This window comes from Homo sapiens, chromosome 16, assembly GCF_000001405.40.
Source record: "Homo sapiens chromosome 16, GRCh38.p14 Primary Assembly".
Lineage (NCBI taxonomy): Eukaryota > Metazoa > Chordata > Mammalia > Primates > Hominidae > Homo > Homo sapiens.
Genome location: NC_000016.10, coordinates 32,377,449 through 32,402,665, shown reverse-complemented (window position 1 = coordinate 32,402,665; position 25,217 = coordinate 32,377,449). Strand labels below are relative to the sequence as shown.

The window sequence follows — 25,217 nt, the reverse complement described above, 5'->3', positions numbered from 1 at the left end:
GTGGTGCATGCCTGTAGTCCCAGCCACTTGGGAGGTTGAGGCAGGAGAATCACTTGAACCTGGGAGGTGGAGGTTGCAGTGAGCTGAGATCATGCCACTGCACTACAGCCTGGGTGACAGCAAGACTCTGAACAACAACAACAAAAAGATGTAGAATAATATATTTGTGATCATGAGGTAAAAAGGACCTTTTGAATGATACATACAAAGGCATTAGACATAAAAAGAGATTTTGATACATTCAATTATATTAAAGTAGTACTTCAAAAGCAACTTCAAAACTACTATAATAAAGTACTACTTCAAAAGCAATTCTGCTCTTTCTCCCCCTTTTTCTCTTTTTCATTTTCAAAGTCAAGTGAACGGTGTTGTGTATTCGCAATTCTGTCTGTTGAAAATAACAAAATACACTTCTTAGAGTGAAAAAAATCATCACAAACAAAATTAAATATCTACTGATATTTGCAGTACATATAATTTACAAATGCATATAACAGATATAATTAATACAGAAGACCAACTCAACAAAAAAATGGACAAAGATATGAACAGGCTAGTTACAGATAAGGAAAAGCTGAAGGACAACACATATATAAAAGATATTCAAGCTTGTGAATAATCACAGAAATGCAAATTAAAATAACAAAAATATGCCATTTTTTCAATTATCAGACTGGAAAACATTATAAAATGTAATAATATCAAGGATTTGCAAGGATTTTCAGGAACAACAGGTATGCTCATAAGCTACTGGTATTAGGGCAAATTAAAGTGGCCATACCGAAAGGATTTTGGCTGTATACATCAAACTAAAAATGTATGTAACCCAGGTAACTATTCTAGACAAACTTATATTTATGTAAAATGAGACAAATAAAATGCCATTTTTGTTATAACATTGTAAATAAAATCTGCTGTTGACATACAATGTAATCTTATACAATTAAAAGGAATCAACTACATGTGTATCCATCTTGAGATGGATAAACCTCGAGACTACTGTTGAGTGAAAAGAACAAATTGTAAAGTAAAATTTTCTTGGGTATGATTACGTAAAAATGCACAAAATAATACTCTTTTTCTCTGGGTTCACAAATACATTTGTTAGAAGTCCAGAACATTATTTTTAAAGCTCTGGAATGATAACATAAAACTCATGAAGATGCTGCCACTCTGGCTCCAGCGGCACATGAGTGCACCCCACAGCACCATTGCCCCGGCTGGCATGTGCAAGTATGCAGAACACCCCCATCCCACTCCTGTCGGCACTGCACCCCTGCCAACACATGCATACCTGCTGTGTGCTGCTGCTGCTGGCACATATGTGTGAGTGGGGACCTTGCTACAATCACTACAGTGAAGCACTTTGGCTGGCACACCCCATCAGAGTGTTGTTGCCAGTGGACTGGGAACACCTTAGTGCTTAACATTGAAGGGCCAGACAACAAATCTGTGGGTATGGTACCAGCCTTGCAAAGTTAGAGCATGCAGTTCAGGAGTGCTGAGCTGAGCCTTTGCCCCCTGAAATCTTCCAGAAATGAAGCCATTTGACTGAAACTACCTTGTGCCACAGTCAAACCCTCAAGGGCATTAAAGAATATAAAAAAGGAAAAAATTCCATCCAAAGGACAGTGAGTCAAAACATTAAAGGAACCTTAGCCCACACAGATGTGAAAGAACCAGTGCAAGAACTCTGGCAATGTAAAAAGCCAGAATGTCTTCCTGTCTTCAAGCAATCATACTAACTCTCCAACAATGGTTGTTAACCAGGACTAAATGACAGACATAGATTTCAGAATCTGGATAGAAACAAAGATCATTGAGATTCAGAAGAAAGTCAAAATCCAATCCAAATAATCTAAGGAATCCAATAAGATGACATAAGAGCTGAAAGATGAAATAGGCATTTTAAGAAAGAACCAAACTAAACTGATAGAGCTGAAAAATGCACCTCAAGAATTTCATAATACAATAACAAGTACTAACAGTAGAACGGACCAAGCTGAGGAAAGAATCCCAGATCTCAAAGACCACTTCTTTGAATCAACTCAGTCATATGGCAATAAACAACAAAAAAGAATGAACAAAACCTCTGAGAAATCTGAGATTATGTAAAGAGACCAAACATATGACTCAAGGCATCACTCAAAGAAAGGGAGAAAGAACAAGCAAGTTGGAAAACATATTTGAGGATACTGCCCACAAAAATTTCCCAAATCTTGCTAGAGAAGTCACCATTTAAATCCAGGAAATGCAGAGAATCCTGTGAGATACTATACAAGATGACCATCCCCAAGACAGAGAGTCATCAGATTCCCCAAGGTCAACATGAAATAAAAAAATATGAAAGGCAGCTAAAGTGAAGGGGCAGGTCACATACAAAGGGAATCCCATCAGACTAACAGTGGAACTATAAGATACTCTACAATCCAAAAGAAATTGGGAGCCTATATTCAACATTCTTTTTTTTTTTTTGAGACGGAGTCTCACTCTGTTGCCCAGGCTGGAGTGCACTGGTGCTATCTCAGCTCACTGCAACCTCCACTTCCCGGGTTCAAGCAATTCTTCTCCCTCAGCCTCCCAAGTAGCTGGGACTACAGGTGCACACCACAACACCTGGCAATTTTTTGTAATTTTAGTAGAGACAGTATTTCACCATATTGGCCAGGGTGGTCTCAAATTCCTGACCTCGTGATCTGCCCACCTCAGCCTCTCAAAGTGCTGAGATTACAGGTGTGAGCCACCACGCCCAGCCTTCAGCATTCTTAAAAAAAAAAAAATACTTGGCCGGGTATGGTGGCTCATGCCTGTAATCCCAGCACTTTGGGAGGCTGAGGGGGGCAGAACACAAGGTCAAGAGATCAAGACCATCCTGGCCAACATGGTGAAACCTCATCTCTAATAAAAATACAAAAATTACCTGGGCATGGTGGTGCATGTCTGTAGTCCCAGCTACTCGGGAGGCTGAGGCAAGAGAATCACTTAACCCAGGAGGTGGAGGTTGCAGTGAGCCAAGATAGCACCACTGCACTCCAGCCTGGGGACAGAGCAAGACTCTGTTGCAAAAAAAAAAAAAAAAAAAAAAAATTCAACCAAGAACTTAATATCCAGCCAAACTAAACTTCATATGTGAAGGAGAAGTAAGATCCTTTTCAGACAAACAAATGCTAACGGAATCTGTTACCACCAGACATGCCTTACAAGAGGTCCTTAAGGGAGTGCTAAGCGTGGAAGTGAAAGACTGCTAATGGCCACCACAAAAATACATTTAAGTACATAGACCATTGACGTTGTAAAGTAACTACACAATCAAGTCTCCATAATAACCAGCTAACAACATAATGGCAGGACCAAAGCTATAAATACCAATATTAACTGTGAATGTAAACAGTATAAATGCCCTGCTTAAAACTCACAGAATGGCAAGTTGGATAAAGAAGCAAAGCCCAACTGTATCTGTTGTCAAGAGACCCAGCTCATATGCAACAATACCCATTGGCTTGAAGTAAAAGGATGGAAAAAAATCTACCAAGCAAATGCAAAACAAAAAAGGGTAAGCATTGTTATTCTAATTCAGACAAAATAGACTTTAAACCAACAACAATCAAAAAGACAAAGAAGGGCACTATGTAATGATAAAGGGTTCAATTCAACAAGAAGACTTAACTGTCTGAAAGATAAATGTGCTCAAAACTGGAGCATTCACATTTGTAAAACAAGTTCATAGAGACCTATAGAGAGACTTAGATAACCACAGAATAATAGTGGGAGACTTCAACATCTCACTGATGGTACTAGACAGATCATAGAGACAGAAAATGCACAAAGATATTCAGGACTTGAAGTCAACATTTGGCTAAATGGACCTAACAGCCATCTACAGAACACTCCACCCAACAACAACAGAATATATCTTCTTCTCATCTGTACATGGCATATATTGTAAAATTGATCACACTATCAGTCTAAAATTATTTTCAATAAATTAAAAGAAGCCCCTGAAATCATGCCAACCACACTCTTGGACCGCTCAGTGTAGCAAAAATAGAAGTCAACACTAAGAAGAACTCTCAAAACCATAAAATTACATGGAAATTAAACAACCTGTGCCTGAATGACTTTTGGGTAAACAATGAAATTAAGGCAGAAACCAATATATTTTTTGAAACTAATTAAAACAAAGATACAATATTCTAGGCTCTCTAAGACACAGGCAAAGCAGTGTTAAGGGAAAAGTTTATAGTGCTAAATGCCCATATTGAAAAGTTAGAAGGATCTTAAATTAACAACCTAATATCATACCTAAAGGAAACAGAAAAACAAGAGGAAACCAACCCAAAGCTAGCAGAAGAAAATAAATAACCAAAATCAGAGCAGAATGGAATGAAATTGAGTCATGAAAAGCCATACAAAAGATAAATGAAACTAAAAGCTGGTTCTTCGAAAGAATAAATAAATTTGATAGGTCACTAGCTAGACCAATAAGGAAAAAAAAAGAGAAGATACAAAAAACACAATCAGAAATGGTAAAGTGGACATTACCGCCAACCACACAGAAATACAAAAAACTCTCAGAGACTAAGATGAACATGTTTATGCAAACAAAGTAGAACACCTACAAGAAATGGGTAAATTTCTGGAAACATACAACCTCCCAAGATTGAACTAGGAAGAAATTGAAATCCTGAACAAACCAAAAATGAGTTCTGAAACTGAATGAGTAATAAAAAGTCTCTGAGCCAAAAAAAAAAAAAAAAAAAAAAAAAAAAGCAAGCCCAGGACCCAACAGATTCACAGACAAATTCTACCAGAAGTGTAAAGAAGAGCTGGTACCAATGCTACTGAAATTATTCTGAAAAAATGAGGAGGAAGGATCCCTCCCTAACTCATTTTATGAGGTCAGCATCATTCAGATATGAAAACCTGGCAGAGACACAGCAAAAAAGAAAACTTCAGGACAGTTATCACTGATAATCATAGATGCAAAAATCCTCAACAAAATACAAGCCAACTGAATCCAGCAGCATATCAAAAAGCTAGTCCACTATGATCAAGTAAGCTTTATTGCTGGGATGCAAGTTTGGTTCAAGATATACAAACCAATAAATGTGATTCATCATAAAATAGAACTAAAAATAAAAACATCCCTTCTTGATATAAACCCTCAACAAATGAGTTACTGAAGGAGCATACCTCAAAATAATTGAAGCCATTTATGACAAACCCACAGCCAACTTCATACTGAATGGGAAAAAGCTGGAATATTCCCTTTGAGAACTGGAACAAGACAAGGATGCCCACTCTCACTACTCCTATTCAACATAGTGCTGGATGTCCTAGCCAGTGCAATTAGGCAAGAGAAAGAAACACAGACATCTAAATACGAAGAATGGAAGTCAAACTATGCCTCTTCTTGGGTGAAACACTTTTATACCAAGAAAACCCCATAGTAGCCTCTCGAGAGCTCCCAGATCTGACAAATGACTTCAGCAAAGTTTCAGGATACAAAAATTAATGTACACAAATCTGTAGCATTTCTATACAGCAACAACATCCAAGCTGACAGCCAAATCAAGAATGCAATCCCATTCACAGTAGCCACAAAAAAAACTACAAAATACCTTGGAATACAGCTAAGCAGGGAGGTGAAAAATCTCTAAAATGAAAATTACAAACGAGTGCTCAAAGAATCAGAGACAACAGAAACAAAAGGAAAACATTCCATGATCACAGATAGGAAGAAGCAATATTGTTAAAATGGCCATACTGTCTAAGGCTATTTACAGAGTCAATGCTATTCCTATCATAACACCAATGACATTTTTCACAGGATTAAAAAAAAAGCATTCTAAAATTCATTTGGAGCCAAAAAAAAAAAAAAGCCCAAATAGCCAAAGCAATCCTAAGCAAAAAGAACAAAGTCAAAAGCGTCACACTACCTGACTTCGAACTGTACTACAATGCTACAGTAAGCAAAACAGCATGGTTATGCTCAGCAAAATAAATAATCAGCAGAGTAAAAAGACAACCTATAGAGTGGGAGAAAATCTTTACAAACTATGCACCCAGCAAAGTACTAATATCCAGAATCTATAAGGAACTCAAAAACAGACATAGACCAGTGGAACAAGTTACAGAACGCAGAAATAAAGCCACACACCTATAGCCATCTACTCTTCAACAAACTTGACAAAAACAAGCAATGGGGAAGGGAATCCCTACTTGGAAATTGTGGTGGGATAACTGGCTAGCCGTATGCAGAAAATTGAAACTGGACTCCATACGTTTCACTGTTTACAAAAATCAACTCAAGGTAGATTAAAGACTTAAGTGTAAAACCCAAAACTATAAAAACCCTGGAAGATAGCCTAAGAAATACCATTCTGGATACAGGCCATTCTGGACATATCCTAGGAAATTTCAATTCTGGAAAACACTTTATGACAAAGATGCCAAAAGCAATTGCAACAAAAACAAAAATTGACAAATGGGACCTAATTAAACTAAAGGGCTTCTGCACAGCAAAAGATATCATCAACAAACAACCTATGGAATGGAAGAAAATATTTGCAAACCATGCATTCGACAAAAGTCTGATATCCAGAATCCAAAAAGAACTTAGAAAAATCAACAAGCAAAAATCTAACAACCTCATTAAATGCGCAAAGGACAGGACAAGACACTTCTCAAAAGAAGACAAACACGTAGTCAACAAGTATACGAAAAAATATTCAACATCACTAATCATTGGAGAAATGCAAAACAAAAGTGCAATGAGATACAACCTCACAGGAGGCAGAATGGCTATTATTAAAAAGTCAAAAAGTAATAGATGCTGGCGAGTTTGGGGAGCTACTCCCAGGTCTTTGGAAGGCTGAGGCATGAGAATTGCTTGAACCTGGGAGGCAGAGGTTGCAGTGAGCTGAGATTGGGCCATTGCACTCTAGCCTGGGCAACAGAGCAAGACTCCATCTCAAAAAAAAAATACAGAAAGAGAAAGAAAGAAAAACCCACAGCCAACATTATACTGAACGGGGAAAAGTTGAAAGCATTCCCCTGAGAACTGGAAAAAGACAAGGATGCCCACTTTCACCACTTCTATTCAACATAGTACTGGAAGTCCTAGCCAGAGCAATCAGACAAGAGAAAGAAATAAAGGGCATCTAAATCAGTAAAGAGGAAGTCAAACTGTTGCTGTTCCTGATGATATGATCATATAATGAGAAAACCCTAAAGACTCATCCAAAAAGCTCCTAGATCTGATAAATGAGTTCAGTAACGTTTCAGGATACAACATCAATGTACACAAATCAGTAGCACTGGTATACACTGACGGTGACTGAGCTGAGAATTAAATCAAGATCTCAACCCCTTTTAAAACAGCTACAAAAAAACCAAAACAAACAAACAAAACCAAAGAAAAAAACCCCAAGCAAACCAACTTAGGAATATACCTAACCAAGGAGGTGAAAGACCTCTACAGTGAAAACTACAAAGCACTGCAGAAAGAAATCATAGATGATACAAACAAATAAAAACACATCACATGCTCATGGATAGGTAGAATCAATATTGTGAAAATGACCATACTGCCAAAAGCAATCTACATCATCACTCTTCCCTCAGCTAGAAAAAGCAATCCTAAAATTCATGTGGAAGCCAAAAATAGTCCGCATAATGAAAGTAAGACTAAGCAAAAAGAACAAATGTGGATGCATCACATTGCTTGACTTCAAGCTATATTATAAGGCTATAGTCACCAAAGCAGCATAATACTGGTATAAAAATAGGCACATAGACTAATGGAACTGAATAGAGAACCGAGAAATAAAGCCAAATACTTAAGCCAACTGATCTTTAACAAAGGAAACAAAAACATAAAGTTGGGAAAGGACACCATATTCAACAAACGGTGCTGGGATATTTGGCAAGCCATATGTAGAAGAATGAAACTGCATCCTCATCTCTCACCTTATACAAAAATCAACTCAAGATGGATCAAAGACTTAAATCTAACACCTAAAACTATAAAAATTCTAGAAGGTAACATTGGAAATACCCTTCTAGACATTTGCTTAGGCAAAGACTTCATGACCAAGAACCCAAAAGCAAAGGCAACAAAAACAAAGATAAATAGATGGGACTTAATTAAACTAAGAAGCTTCTACACAGCAAAAGAAATAATCAGCAGAGTAAAAAGACAACCTATAGAGTGGGAGAAAATCTTTACAAACTATGCATCCAACAAAGTACTAATATCCAAAATCTATAAGGAACTCAAATCAGCAAGAAAAAAACAATTTATCCTATCAAAAAGTGTGCTAAGGACATGAATAGACACTTCCCAAAAGAAGATATAAATGGCCAAGAAACATGAAAAAATCCTCAATATCACTAATTATCAGGGAAATGCAAACAAAACCAAAATGCGATACCATCTCACTCCTCCAAGAAGAGTCATAATCAAAAAATTAAAAAAAATTGATGTTGCCATGGATGTGGTAAAAAGGGAACACTTTTACACTGCTGGGGGGAATGTAAACTAGTACAACCACTATGGAAAAGAGTATGAAGATTTCTTAAATAATTAAAAGTAGATCTACCATTTGATCTAGCAATCCCACTACTGGGTATCTACCCAGAGGAAAAGAAGTCATTATATGAAAAAAACACTTGCACACACGTTTTTGGCAGCAAAATTTGCAATTGTGAAAGATATGGAACTAGCTCAAATGCCCATCAATCAATGAATGCATAGAGAAAATGTGGTGTATATATATATGTGTATATACACACACACATATATGTGTATATATGTATATATGTGTATATACACATATATATGTGTGTATATGTGTGTATGTGTGTATATATATACTCACACAGACCATGGACGGAATACTACTCAGCTATAAAAAGGAATGAAATAATGGCATTCACAGCAGCCTGGAAGGAGTTGGACACCATTATTCTAAGTGAAGTAATTCAGGAATGAAAAAACCAAACATTGTATGTTCTGACTTATAAGTGGGAGTTATGCTATGAGGATGCAAAAGCATAAGAATGATACAATGGACTTTGGGGACTTAGGGGGAAGAGTAGGAGGAGGGTGAGGGATAAAAGACTACACCTTGGGTGCAGTGTACACTGCTCTGGTGATGGGTGCACCAAAATCTCAGAAATTACCACTAAAAATATTTTCCATGTAAACAAACACCACCTGTTCCTTAAAAACTAATGAAAAAAATAAAAAAGACAAGAGATCAACCTAAATGCCCATCAATGGTGAACTAGATAAAGAAAATGTGGCACATATACACCATAGAATAATACACAGCCATAAGAAAGAACGAGATCATGTCCTTTGGAGCAACGTGGATGGAGTTGAGGCCAATACGCAAAGTGAATTAACACAGGAACAGGAAACCAAATATCCCATATTCTCACTTATAAGTGGGAGCTAAACACTGAGTACACATGGACAGAAAGAAGGGAACAATCGTCACTAGGTGAATTTGAGGGTGGAGGGTGGAAGGAGGGGGAGAATAGAAAAACTACCTATTGGGTATTATACTTACAACCTGGGTGACAAAATAATCTGCATACCAAATCCCTGTGACATGCAATTTATCCATATAACAAGCCTGCTCATGTACCCCTTGAGCCAAAATAAAAATTGGAGAAGAAAAAAACTCCTAAGAGTTGTCACTTTGGGTAGAGTTACAGGCATTATGATTTGAAGGCATAGTTTAAGGTCATTCCTCCTTTATTTATAAAGTTCTAATTTTTAAAATAAAAGTGCATTTGAGTATTTAATCATAAACATTAATTTAAAAATTCACTGGATTTTGTAGTAACTATGTAATGGATGAACTTTGCTATGAGTGTCATTGGAATGGATAAGCAGAGACAAAAGTTGATGAATTAAGAAATGAAAAGGAGTTAGGATCTAGAGACAGTAGTTATAGACTTATTTTGAGGAATTCAAACATAAGATAAATGGATGGTAAATAAAGATGGATGGGGCATTGGATATACGGCAAGAGATTTTGTTTGCTTGCTTTCTTTAAAATGGGAGAGTTTATATTTATACACCTATGTCTATATAAAATGTTTCTCAAATATATATATACACACATACATATATATGAAATGTGCAACTGTATTTACATATAGCTATGAGGAAGAGGCCATTAGATAGACTAAAACATACAGATATGTTATAATACAGATGAAAAGGAATAAATTGATCACGTGAATTTTCTTTATGATAAACATTTAGGGGCTATGAATGTTTGTTAAAAAAATTTCGTGCAATTTGGGACATTCTCTGCTTTTAATCAACTGCTTTCCAAGGATTTTAACACTGTGAAATGAATTTTAATAGAGATTTTCTATACAATATTCTGAATGTTTTAACAGTTTTAAACAAGCATCCTTAATTGAATATTTTCATAAGAAAAAATGAGAAAGAAATTACCCTAATAGAATTGCCCATTGCCAGGGAAATTTCATAATGAAGTGGGAAAAAACAGCAGCTGCACTTGCCTCCATAAGGCATGGACCTACAGCCAATCTGAAACAAACCACCTTCAAATGTCTCAAAGCCTGAAACACAAAACAGTCACATTTGATGCATTTACAGTGGCCAACAAGAAAATTATTTTAACAAATGTTGGACTATAAAGTCTTTTTTCATAAGAAGCTTTCACTAAACAAAATCTCATTTCAACAGATTGCCCCACTGGACTTTGATCTCTATTATATTTTATAAGTCATCATATGTTGGATTATAAACAATTTCATCTTTTATAAAATATTATTGTATTTTAATTATTAAAATATTAATTTTACTGTGATTAAATAGCTAATGCTACCTTCCTGAACTTTCCTAATACATAGTATAATAATAGTGTCCTTGTAGTGTTTTCCCATTAACTTTTTGATATGAACTCTTTGATTAACTTAATAAGTATAAATACAACACTAACATGCCAAAGAAAATAACTTAAAAACTGCATAATTCATTTTAAAAGGGAGAACTTTTCAATTTTCTCCTTGGTTCATACTTTCTGCTGGAGAATATAATCTCATTGGCTATAATTATTTATGCTCTTGAGCTATTTCTATTAAACCACATTTGCCACATTTATTTGAGTGGCTGTCACATTCATGAATAGTCATCTTCTTATAGATGGGATTTATGATCCCTAGCATGTAATATTTTAAGAAATGCTTTAAAAGATTAGATTTTACAATAATGCAAAGATAATCAGGAACATAATCCTGTAGAGAAAACGTCATAAAAAATTACTGAAATCCTTAATCTCCCTAAAAAAAGAAAAAGAATTGTATAAAGTTTTTCTTATAAAACGTTTGTTTTGTTTTTTTTTTGAGACGGAGTCTCACTCTGTCCCCCAGGCTGGATTGCAGTGGCACTATCTCAGCTCACTGCAACCTCTGTCACTCAGGTTCAAGCGATTCTCTTGCCTCAGCCTCCCGAGTAGCTGGGATTACCAGGTAAATGCCACCATGCACGGCTAATTTTTGTAGATTACAGGCATGAGCCATCATGCCCGGCCTTTTTTTCTTTATCTTAGGTTTGTTTACAGACTCCACTTGGAACAGGTAAATACAATTTTTGCTTCTTTTTCTTTCTCACCATCCTCTAATATTTGAAATAACCTTACTCGATTTGTAATTGTAAATCTACCTGTGGATCGAGTCCAAGCCCAGCTCGTATTAGAATAATGTTAAGGGCAATGCTTCTTAAAATTGAAGACCATGCGTTAGGAACATGGACGTGTTCACTGATGAATGGAACATTCCTAATTGTAAATCCAGCCAGTAACATCCCTTAAAAGAAAGAAAATAAACATACATGACAGTTCATTTTTCTGAGAAAGAAAACAGAAATGTTTACTTTATTTTCTAATGCACTATGTCTCTCATTATTTTGGTAAAGGGCAGGTTACAAGCAAGTAGAGAAGGCAGCATGAATAAAGGAATGGCGATAAACAATACACCTAAATGGGGTTCAACAAGTAATTTAGTGTTGCTGGAACATACAGGGCAAGGAAAGGAGGGAGGAGAATGAGCTTGGTGGGCCAGATCATAGAAAGGTCTCCCCCCACTTTGGCAAAGTAAGGCACCATGGGAAGGTTTTAGGCAGGAAGTAATATAATGAGTCTTGCGATTTTTATATGAGGGTCTTGGTGAATTAGTTAGGGATAAAACTGGAGACAGAGACCAAATTGAAGGCTCCGTCACAGTCCACGCAAAAGTTGGAAACAAATAGCCTAAGCTAGAGCAAAAGAGAAAGTTTGGAGAGGAGGAAAATGATTCAATAAATACTTAGAAGGTGCTGCAAGAAAACTGTGGATACAGAAGGGACAGCAGGGATAAGATGTAGAGATTATCTCTACTGACAGTGTACTGAATATATATTTATTTTTGGGGACAGGGTCTCATTCTGTTGCCCAAGGTGAGTGCAGTGATGCAAACATGGCTCACTGTAGGCTTAACCTCCTGAGGTCAAGTGATCCTCTTGCCTTAGCCTCCTGAGTAGCTGAGACCCAGAAAAATTTTTAATATTTTGTAAAGACAAGGTCTGCTATGTTGCCCAGGCTGGTTTTGAACTCCTGGGATCAGGTGATCCTCCTGCCTTGGCCTCCCAAACTGCTGGGATTATGGGCATGAGTCACCATGCCTGGCCCACTGTACTGAATATTTAGATATATTTGAATACAGTAAGTTCTCACTCAGCATCGTCGATAGGTGATTGGAAATGGCAACTTTGAGTAAAATGGTATATAATAAAACCAATTTTAGCATAGTCTAAATGATATGAACAAGAGTCAATTTCCTACAGCATATTTCTGGTCACAAAACATCATCAAACTTCTAAATAAAGATCCAAAACACTTCTAGTATTAAACAATGAAATAAATTTGAGCTCTACATACATTTTACAAAGTTTTATAAAATAAATAAGATAATTCTTTACTTAATTTTTGATGAATCCACGAGTGACGGTGGTTATAGCAGTGATGGTTAAAATCAAAGAATAAATGTTTACAAAGTGAAAATTGTAAGGAGCACCTCCTCCCACTATACAGTTCAAAAACAAACACAAATATGGTAGGCTGGCTGAGAGTTTTCACATCACATTGTTTATTGTCTTGCATTTGTATGGTTATCATATACTTAACAAAATTTTATTTTGCAATAATTTATATTCATTCATTTATTCATTGTACAATCCACTAGTTCAGGGTCATTGTACAATCCACTAGAATACTAGTTCAGGGTCAAAGGTGACTGAAACTTAATCCAAAAAAATCAAGGAGGGACTCCCTCCCTAACACATTCTACGAATCTAGTATCACAATTATACCCAAATCAGGCAAAGCCACACACACACACACACACACACACACACACACACACACACACTACTGGTCAATATCCCTGATGAACAGAGATGCAAAAATTCTCAACTAGCAAAATCAATTCAATAGTACATCAAAGAGATAATATAGTTAAGTGGGTTTTACTCCAGAAATACAAGGATGGTTCAACATGTGAATCATTCTTCCATAAAGACATATACACACATATGTTCATTGTGGCACTATTCACAATAAAAAGACATGGAATCAACTTAAATGACTAAATAAAGAAAATGTGTTACATATACACCATGGAATACTATGCAGTCATAAAAAAGAATGGCATCATATCCTTTGTAGCAACATGGATAGAGCTGAACACCATTATCCTAAGTGAAATAACTCAGAAACAGAAAACTCAAATACCACATGTTCTCACTTATATGTGGTAGCTAAACAATGGGTACATATGGACATAAAGATGGAAATAATAGACACTGAGGAGTCCAAAAGGAGAGAGGGTTGGAGAGTTAAGGTTGAAAAATTTCCTATTGGGTATAGTATTCACTGTTTGATGATGGGTTCACTAGAGCCCAAATCTCACCATTATGCAACATATCCATGTACCAAACCTGCACATGTACTCCGTGAATCTAAAATTTTTAAAGATTCTATTAAACAATAAAGCAACAGGAATAATGTACTAAGGATATTAAATTTATTTTTAAAATAAATTTTGGATAAAACTTGTGTGTGTATATATGTAGACAGAGAGAGAAATAAATGCCCCTATAAAAGAGCTATACACACACACACACACACACATACAGCAAATACACACATGAAGAAACTATATAAAACATACTACATTGAAATATTTCTGAATTATAACTAATTCAACAAGAAAATGTTCAAAATTTGCATATAATCAATAATAAAGAAAAGAGAGCTAATTATATACTTACCAAGAAGAGGTGGAAGTGGAGGCACTAAAGGTATTCTAATGAGTTGTAAAATTTTTCCCCCAATAATGGCACTATAAAAAATAATTAACAATCCAAATAAATTTCCACTAGGGAGAGCTTCAGAGCCTAAGATTGACCAGGTCATACACCATATCACAAACAGTGTAACTCCTGAAATACAAAAAAGTGTACAGCTATATATCTATATACACATAGATGTATACAAACAAATGATCAATTCTCTTTTATCATATATACTAATAGCCAGTTCTATAAAATGATACATGGTATAGATCAACATTGCTTACTAGTTTGGTGAAAGAGATATCTGCTTAACATATATTCCAAATAACCTGTCAATTTATGAAGTAGGTTTTAAACAAAGTGTTTTCACTTTAAAAATATTTAAAAACTATATGTGGGCCAGGTGCAGTGGCTCACGCCTTAATCCCAGCACTTTGGGAGGCTGAGGTGGGCTGGATCACATGAGGTCAGGAGTTTGAGACCAGCCTGGCCAACACAGTGAAATCCCGTCTCTACTAAAAATGCAAAAATTAGCCAGGCGTGGTGGTGCGTGCCTGTAATCCCAGCTATATGGGAGGCTGAGTCAGGAGAATTGCTTGAACCCAGGAGGTGGAGGTTGCAGTGAGCCAAGATTGTGCCACTGCACTCCAGCCTGGGTGACAGAGTGAGACTCAGTCTCAATAAAAAAATTAAAAAAATTTAAAAAAACCTATATGTGAACTCTTGAAAATGTTAACTTATAATATATGATAGTTAAAAACATCATGGCAATATGATGAGATTTACTTCATTTTATATTTTAAAATAGCTTTTTCATCAGGATGGAAAATAAGAGGATGATTGGCTGTGATAAGAATTCACAACATTATTGAAGATCACAGTGTCAAGGTGCCAAATCTTTTAACAGGAACCTGCTAAATCTTTTTATTGAAAGGATAATTCAACTGATATTTGGCATAAATGTATTATAGGAGGAAATGGCTGGAAGAAATGAACCTAGATTTTGTGGGAATAAATATAAAGTATTTTAGATTATGTGTAGGAGGTAGAGGTAGATTAAGATGAGTAGGTATAAGTTACTAGACATCTTGTTTCTGACAACTAGGTGCTACTCACTGAGGAATCCACAGGTTTCTGTAAAGGACAGACAATAACATGGTAAATTTCCATTTGCTAATTAAATGGCTACCTTTATTTGCTATGAATCATAATTGCTAATGCTTTTAATATTCTTAAAACAGCTTACATGAACTTTTTAGCTATGGACCCTTTCTGGCTGTATAGAATTTGCCAGGGTAGAGGAGGAGGATTTTGACTCACTCCAGGCAGAAAGTTAGAACAAAGTTTTTTTCCTCCTCCCCTCTGATTATTGTCATCCTGCAAAACTGGAAGCCTTGGAGAGCTAAACTCTTACTAAAATAATGGACCAGGCTGGGTATGGTGGCTCGCGCCTGTAATCCCGGGACTTTGGGAGGCCGAGGCGGGTGGATCACCTGAGGTCAGGAATTCAAGATGAGCCTGACCAACACGGTGAAAAGCCGTCTCTATTAAAAATAGAGACAATTAGCCTGGCCTGTTGGTGCATGCCTGTAATCCCAGCTACTTGGGAGGCTGAGGTAGGAGAATTGCTTGAACCCAGGAGGCGGACATTGCAGTGAGCTGAGATGGCGCCACTTCACTCCAGCCTGGGTAACAAGAGCAAAACTCCATCTCAAGAAAACAAAACAAAACAAAAAACAAAAATAAAAAACACGGACCAGAAAATGTCATCCTACTGACAAATTGAGAAGACAAGGCAGTTTGTCTTAGCTGGTCTCTGGGTGGCAAAGTCTTTTTTGAGAATTCATATGTAAAACTGGCCTCATCCAACTTATGCGTAGGGCTCAAATTACATTACGTGCACAGGTTAGGGATCCCAAAGTTCTAAACCTACCATAAAAGTGTCCCTGCATTGAAGTATCCCTAGAAAACTTAGTAGATGCTAATTCAAAAAATCTCTAATAGACACACCTGATCCCAGACTGCATAAAGTCTCAAAGGTAAAGCCAAGTGAATCTGAACTTAAAATAAGAAGAAATATCCCATGAGCAAAAGTTAACAGATACAATAAAGAATGGGATTAGATGTCTAAAAACCTCAGCTAATAGAACCACTAGATAGACACTATAAAATATGTATTTTCTAAGGGACTAGAGAAAATTTTTAAAAATTGGAGACATGAGAAGAAGAAATTACTTGAAAGTATTGTAAAATAATTAAATAGAACATCTAGAAAAAACTTTAAAATTTACTCAACTGAAAAAAACCCACTAAGTACCCAAATAGCAATCTAGGCAAAGCTGAAGAGAGAACACAGCAAAGTAGTAGATATGAGGAAATTATTTAAGAGCATAGCACACACACAAAAAAACGAGGTGGAAAATGAGAGATTTAGATTATGGAAAAGATCTAAAACACAACTAATGGTAGTTTCAGAAACATCCATTGAAAGAATGAAGAAGATATAATATTTGAGAAGAAAACTGGCTTCAAATTTTACAGAATTGATTAGGGTTTTTATTGATTTGGACACAGGAAGTCAAATGAGTTCTAATCATGATTAAGTAAAAATAGATACTTAGATAAAATGTTGAGAAACTATAGACTACCAAAGGCAAAAATAAAATCTTAAATAATCTAGACAGAGAAAGAGAGATTAATCATAATTGAATAAACAATAGAGCAGATTCTCAATTCTTAGCAACAATAGAAGTTGGAAGATAATTAAATAAAGTCTTCAAAGTACAGAGATAAATAAAACATTCAGTGCTGAATTCTGTAGCCAGTTAACTGTCACTCGAACAAAAGACAAATGAAAGATATTGTCAAACAAATACATTTAAGAACATATGCCATTTTTTACCAGGGAAAAATCTACTGAAAGATATGCTTTAGAAATATGACATAGAACCAGAAAAGATGGAACAATGTGCAAAGAAATTGGTAAAATGTAGGTTAGTCTAAACAAGTATTTGTTGTGTAACACATTACTAATGAAAATTGTTAATCAGAGGATATAAAGATAAGGTTGGGAAGTGACATGAAAAGGTTGGCAATTTATTTCCACACCAAAACTCCCCCCAAAAATTGCAGAAATACCAAAAACAATAATTTCAGGACCCTGAAAACTCATCAAAGGCAGTTATCAAATTTAAGAAGCATTTATTCTTGAAAAAAGTGTTAGGGTTTTGGGTAGGATTGGTAAAAGTCTGAGCCCTTCCTGACGGGGGTTTCTCCCTGATATAGTTTGGCTTTGTGTCCCCATCCAAATCTCATCTTGAATTATACTCCCATAATTCCTATGTGTTGTGGGAGGGACCTCGTGGGAGATAATTGAATCATGGGGGTGGTTCCCCCCCATACTGTTCTCGTGGTAGTGAATAAGTCTCACAAGATCTGATGGCTTTATCAGGGGTTTCCGCTTTTGCAACTTCCTCATTTTCTCTTGCCACCACCATGTAAGAAGTGCCTTTCACCTCCTGCCATGATTCTGAGGTCTCCTCAGCCACCTGGAACTATAAGTCCAGTTAAACCTCTTTTTCTTCCCAGTCTTGGGTATGTCTTTATTAGCAGAATGAAAACAGACTAATACACTCCCATCTCTCTTCTCACCCCCAAGCTCAGTTGGGGAAAACTGTAGTTTTACCAGTTTGAAGCTGGATGTAAAACCCAGCAGCTTTCCTGTTAGGGCTGGGGGCACGGGTGGATTTGGTATGGAGCAGAGGGAAGAAATCAATGGTTTTGCCAGTTAAATATAGCAGAGTGGTTTGGGAATGAACAGAGAGAATTGCAGATTTGCTAGTCTGAGGTTGCAGTTTCAACTGGGGAAGTGGAAGACAAGACAAAAATTTAAGTGAGAGATCCTGAGGGTCAATAGATGCAGCAAACCACCATGGCACATGTATACCTGTGTAACAAACCTGAATGTTCTGCACATGTATCCTGGAACTCAAAGTGAAAGAAAGAAAGAAAGAAAGAAAGAAAGAAAGAAAGAAAGAAAGAAAGAAAGAAAGAAAGAAAGAGAGAAAGAAACAAAGAAAGAAAGAGGAAGAAAGAGAGAGAGAGAAAGAGAGAAAGAAAGAAGAAAGAAAGAAAAAAGAAAGAAAGAAAGAAAGAAAGAAAGAAAGAAAGAGAAAGAAAGAAAGAAAGAAAAGAAAGACCCACATGCTAGGCTAGAGTTTTCCAGTTCCAAGTTCCAATTCTCTCACTGAGAAGAGTGGCTCACTATGCCTAAACTGTTTATACAAACAATGTGGTTTACTCTGAACAGCTGCTTTTCCTCTGAGAGTCTGGAATTCTGGTACATGTGAAGGAGAGTAACCTCCGTAAAATCCTGAGAACTGAGTCTCTAATGAGACTCTGGTCCTGGTAGATGACATTGCACATGTGCTGTCAAAATTTCATGCTGGGAAAGAGAAACACATCCTTGTAACTCCACAGGAGATGATTCCAGGAAGCTCATGCCTGGTATCCTCCAGACTTTACCACATACAACTTTTTCCCTTTGCTAATTTTGCTTTGTATCCATTCACTATAATAAATTAAAAACCTGAGTATTACTAAAAAAAAAAAAAAAAAGAGAGAGAGAGAGAAATCCTGGAAAGGAGAGAATCATAAAAAGTTTGAGAAAAGTTCTCCACACGTATTGCCGATTGGAAAAGTATGGAAGTGCAGGAAAGACTCAAGATAGTATGACAAAAAGTAAAAATGAAGTAAGACTTGAGTATTAATTGCAACTTTGAATGCATTCACCCACCCACCCACAGATTATTTGGCAGAGAGTGGAAGCCTTACTAGCTTTAATATAATGTCTCTCAAAAATCAAGCTATGCAACAGACACAAAGGAAATCCCTAGAAAGACAGGCTAAAACAACAATAACAACAACAACACAATATAAAAGACATCAATGCTGAAAACCACTGGGCAGAAGGATTACACAGCACAAGTATAGGCCAATTACCAAAACATAACAACAACAAAGACAATAACAAATAAAAACCAAATCCAGATTTGCTATAATGTGTAATTAAAGTGTTTAGTTTTCAATTAAAAATTATCAGACATGTAAGGAAACAGGAAAATATGGCTCATACTCTGGAAAAAAAGCAGTGAATAGAAACTGTCTCAATTCAGATATTGGATTTAGAAAGAAAGTTTTGAAAGTATATATTATAAATATGTTCAAATTAAAAATATGATAATGTGCTGTCTAATAGAGAATATGAATAAGGAGACAGAATATGTTTAAAAATAGAATCTAGAATTGAAAAGTACAACAGTTAAAGTGAAAAAATCACTAACGAGGTTCAATAGCATATTTGACCTTGTGAAAGAAAGTATCAGTGAACTTGAAGATAGACCAGTAGAGGTTAATCAATCTGAAGAACAAAAAGAAAAAAGAATGAAGGATAATAAAGAGATCCTCAGAAACTTATGGGATACCATCAAGAGCACTACCATATGCATAATGGGAATTCCAGGAGAAGAGAGAGATAAGAGGACAGAAAAATATTTGAAAACATAATGTCTGAAAACTTCAAAAATGCTACGAAAAACATTAATCTTCAGATATAAGAAGTCCAACAAATCTCAAGTAGGATAAACACAAAGAGATTCACACCTAGAGCCATCCTTGTCAAATTGGTGAAAACCAAGGATAATAAGAAAATCATGAAAGTAGCAAGGGATGACTTATCACATACAGGGGAACAATAATATTATCAATACTGGCATTTTTATCTGAAAAAAATGGAGGCCTTATGAAGCGACATTTCAAAAGTGGAGGGAAAAATAACTGTCAATTAAAAATTCTGTATCCATTTAAATGATCCTTCAAAAATGGAGCTGAAATAAAGACATTTCCAGATAAATAAAAATAAAGAGAACTTATCCTTGCTAAAGAAACACTAAAGAAAATGCTTTTAAGATAAAAGGATATGACACCAGATGGCAACTTGAACCTATAAGGAATAAATGGCACGGGAAATGGTAAATAAATTTGTAAGTATAAAAGATTGTATGTGGGCCGGGCGCAGTGGCTCACGCCTGTAATCCCAGCACTTTGGGAGGCCGAGACGGGCGGATCACGAGGTCAGGAGATCGAGACCATCCTGGCTAACATGGTGAAACCCCGTCTCTACTAAAAATACAAAAATTAGCCGGGCATGGTGGCGCGTGCCTGTAGTCCCAGCTACACGGGAGGCTGAGGCAGGAGAATGGCGTGAACCCGGGAGGCAGAGCTTGCAGTGAGTCGAGATCGCGCCACTGCACTCCAGCCTGGGCGACAGAGCGAAACTCCGTCTTAAAAAAAAAAAAAAAGATTGTATGTGTGTGTGTGTGTGTATTCTGATTTCATCTCTTTTTTTAAAAAAATCATCTGATTATTATAGGCAATAACTATAACAATACTGCTGAGTTCATAGCATATAAGAGATACATTGATCAAAGTTGCTATATAACACTGGAATTAAGTAAAAATTACTAAACCAAAGTAGATTGTAAAAAGTGAAGATGATTGATTATTATAATCCCCAAAGGTAGTTGGGAGGCTGAGATAGAAGTACTGCTTGAGGCTAGGAGTTTGAGACTAGCCCGAGCAACACAATGAAACTCTGTTGATATAGTTTGGATATGTGTCCCTGCCCAAATCTCATGTTGAATTGTAATCCCCAAAGTTGGAGATAGGTCCTGCTGGGAGGTGAATGGATCATGGGGGCAGATTTCTCATGAATCGTTAGTACTGGCTAATTTGGTATTTTTAGTAGAGACAGGGTTTCTCCATGTTGGTCAGGCTGGTCTTGAACTCCTGACCTCAGGTGATCCACCCGCCTCAACCTCCCAAAGTGCTGGGATTACAGGCAGGAGCCATCGTGACTGGTCTAAGTTTTACTTTCTAAAAATTATATTAAAATTTATATTTCTCTATTATCTAATCATAAATTATATCAAATATGCTGTTTTGAATTTTATTTTTCCCTTTAAACGTAAAGACACACATTCAGTTCATTGTGCTAGATAAATTACCAGTGTGATCACAAATTAAGAAATGCAATTCAAAGAATTTTGCATACAAGGAGTCCTGAAAGTGTTAATAATTTTTGATGCAAAGATAATTTTATGAAAGTAATAGAAGACTAAAAAAAGGTACAAAACAATTATTATGTAAGTATCTTCCTTTTTCTGAATCACCCATGATTACTTTTTCCACTAAGCAAAAACTGACTACATACTTCAGACCTGTCTCAAATCTCCCCAGCCTCTTTTCCTAAACCTCCCCAGCCTCTCAGGACAGACAGGATGCTCCTGTACTTTGTGCATTCTGCTATTTTTAGCAAGAGGCCTATTTTGTCGGTGTTGTCTGAATAGTATTTGCCGACTCTCAGACTTTCAGTCACTTATTTGTTTATTTATTTATTTATTTGTCTCCTTTTCTTGTATTTCCCTTTTCCTTTTCTTTCCTTTCTTTTTCCCTTTCCTCCTCCCTTCCTTTGCTTACTTATTTTTTCCCTTTAATTCCCATTCACTATTTCCATGACTGCCAAATAGTAGGTTGATCCTTTAAAATATTCCTTTTTTAAAATTTATTGTACTTTAAGTTCTGGGATACATGTGCAGAACGTGCAGGTTTGTTACATAGGTATACACGTGCCATGTGGTTTGCTGCACCTATCTACAATATATCTTAAAATGAATAAAAGTGGAAACACACAGGAGACAGGGTGTATGGGGTGAGTGGGTTGCCAAGTGGATGGTGGCAGGGTGCTCCAGGGTGGCCAGTGGGGCTAAGTGTTGTGTATTCCAAGCATGGCGGGGTTCCTGCCTTCCTGTGTGGCAGACTGTGGCATCAGGTAAGAGCCACTCAGTGCCCACCCTGGCTCCTCCATTGCCTTGCTCTCAGCCCCTGACATCCAGCCCACACCTGGAGATTGAGTTGTACCCACTGCTCTGGGTCTCAGCCCTGTGATCACCTCAGTAGATATTCTGAGCTTGGCTATGCAGGCAACACTGAGCCATAGTTTACTATTCTTTTATGCATTTCTATCAGAGAGTCAGCAAAGGTAGTTGACAAAGCCCAAGGGAGAATGTTGAAGGGAGTTGATGACCTTGACTTTTTCATACAGGATGAAGCCATTGATAAATATGTATGCTACAAAGTGGTCAATATGACATGGAATCACTGAAGACTGGGATATTATGGAAAGGTTCATGGAGCAAGTGGTTTTTAAATATCTTTGAGCAGAATCTGAGGACCATTATTTTTTAATGACAGAACTTCCACTGAATACACTAGAAAATACAGAGCATTTTTGCAGAAATTATGTTTGAACTATTTAATGTACCAGGATTCTACATTGCAGTTCAGGATGTACTAGCCTTGGAAGTATCTTGGACATCTCAACAAGTGGGTGAATATATGTTAATGAGTACAGTCATTGACAAAGGAGATGGAGTCACCCTTGTTCTCCCAGTTGTAGAAGGTTATGTAATTGAGAGCTGCATCAATCACATCCTGATTGTAGGTGATACTGTGTATTTCATTCAACAACTGCTAAGGGAGAGGGAGGTAGGAATCCCTCTTGAGCAGTCACTGGAGACCACAAAAGCCATTAAGGAGAAATACTGTTACTTTTGCCCTGATATAGTCAAGGAATTTGCTAAGTATGATGTGGATCCCTGGAAGTGGATCAAACAGTACACAGGTATCAATGTGATCAACCAGGAGAAGTTCATAATAGACGTTGGTTACAAAAGGCTCCTGCAACCTGAAATATTTTTTTACCCAGAGTTTGCCAACCCAGACTTTATGGAATCCATCTTGAATATTGTTGATGAATACAAAACTGTCCCATTGATGTGCATTGTCCACTGTATAAGAATGTTGTTCTTTCAAGGGGTTTGGCCATATTCAGGGATATGAATCTCAACTACAGAGAGATTTGAAGAGTGGTACATGCCAGATTAAAACTCAGTAAGGAGCTCAGTGGCAGGATAATCAAACCTAAGCTTACAGAGGTCCGGGTGGTAATCCGTCACATGCAGCACTATGCCTTATGGTTTGGAAGCTTAATGCTAGCCTCAACTCTGGAGTTATTTCAGGTCTGTCACACCAAGAAGGACTATAAAGAATATGGCCCCAGCATCTGCCACCAGAGCCTTCTCTTTGGAGTAATGTCTTAGTGTCTGCCTTGAAAGCATCATTTAATAGTGTCATGTTGGGGAATGAGTGTCCTTCAGAACCCAGAGAAGACTACCATTTCTAAATGACATTTGGTGTTGATGTCTGAGCAGCATGCTTGCATCACCTAGTGCATGAGGCACAGGGCAGAGTCATTTCAGTAAAAACCATTTCTTTATGTGTTGACTGTTGTATGCCCACTCCTTCTTCTCTCACTCCCTTTCTTCATGCTTCCCCAGTTTCCCTCCTCCTTTTCACTTGAACTTTTTTGTTGACAAATACCATTCTGAAGGAATTCAAATGTGACTCTGAAAATTGTTAAGAGGAAAAAAAATTTCAAAAATGGCCCAAAATAGTTCTCCCCCAGGAAAGAATGCAGTGGTATAAATCCTTTTCCCCCAGCCTATTTTTATAAATAAAATGTTATAAACTTAAAATACAAAAAACCAAAAACATAGCAATATTTACAGGATGCAATTAAAGCAGAGTATAGAGGAAAATGTATAGCTTTAAAAACAGAAAGAAAAAATAATCTAAAATTGATAATCAAAACTTCCATCTTAAGACTCTAGAAAAAGATGAGTAAACCAAGCCGAAAGTAAGTAGGATGTATGAAATAAAAATGTCACAGTGGAAAACGAGAAATACAGAACAGGATAACGTTAAAAACAACCAAAGAAACCCAAAATTGCTTATTTCAGAAAGTCAAGAAGATAAATAATATTTAGTTAAATTGACCAAGAAAAAAGAAAGAAGACACTAATCCCAAAATCAAGAATCAAAGAGAAATATCACCACAGACCCTACCCTTAAAAGGATGTTAAGAAAATAGCATAATAACTTTAAGGCAAAAAATTTGACAACTTAGATAAAATAGAACAATTCCTTGAAAGACACAAATTACCAAAACTGACTCAAGGAAAAAGAAAAAAAAACAAATACCAATATCAAGTAAAGAAATTGCATCAGTAATTTCAAATCTTCCTATAGAGAAAAAATATACTTCACTGGTGAATTCTATCAAACTACTAAGGGAGGAAATAATACCAATGTTACAAAAACTTTATTCAGCAAATAGAGGATGAAGGAAACTTCCCAACTAACCTTATTTCATTTGATATCAATATTACCCTGATATCAAAACAAGACAAAGACATTACAAGCAAACACAGCTATATACCAATATCCCTTGTGAACCTAGACATAAAAATTCTTAACCAAATATTAGCAAATGTAATTGAGCAACATATGAAAAGGATTTTATACCATAATCAAATGAAGTTTATCTCAGGAATGTGAGGTTGACTTAACATCCGAAAATCAATGTAATAAACTATATTAACAGAATAAAGGACAAAACCATATGATCACCTCAATAGATGCAGAAAAGCATTTGACAGAATTCAACAATCATACATTAAAAAAAATCTCATCAACTTATGAATAGAAGGGAACTTCTTCAAATGATCAAGGCATCTACCAGAAGCCTATAGCCAACATATTTAATGGTAAGAATGTGCTTCCCTCTAGATTAGGAAACATGCAAAGATATCTGTGTTTACCACTTCTATTTAACAATGCACCACAGGTCTTAGTTTGTGCAATAGTCAAGGAAAAAAGG

The 25,217-nt window shown here is 36.4% G+C and overlaps 2 pseudogenes; one reads left to right on the top strand and one right to left on the bottom strand.

Annotated features, from left to right (window-relative positions):
• The window catches only part of SLC9B1P5 (solute carrier family 9 member B1 pseudogene 5), a 48,235-nt pseudogene extending 33,700 nt beyond the window's left edge, over window positions 1–14,535 (bottom strand).
• On the top strand, window positions 22,199–24,039 carry ACTR3BP3 (ACTR3B pseudogene 3; annotated as a pseudogene).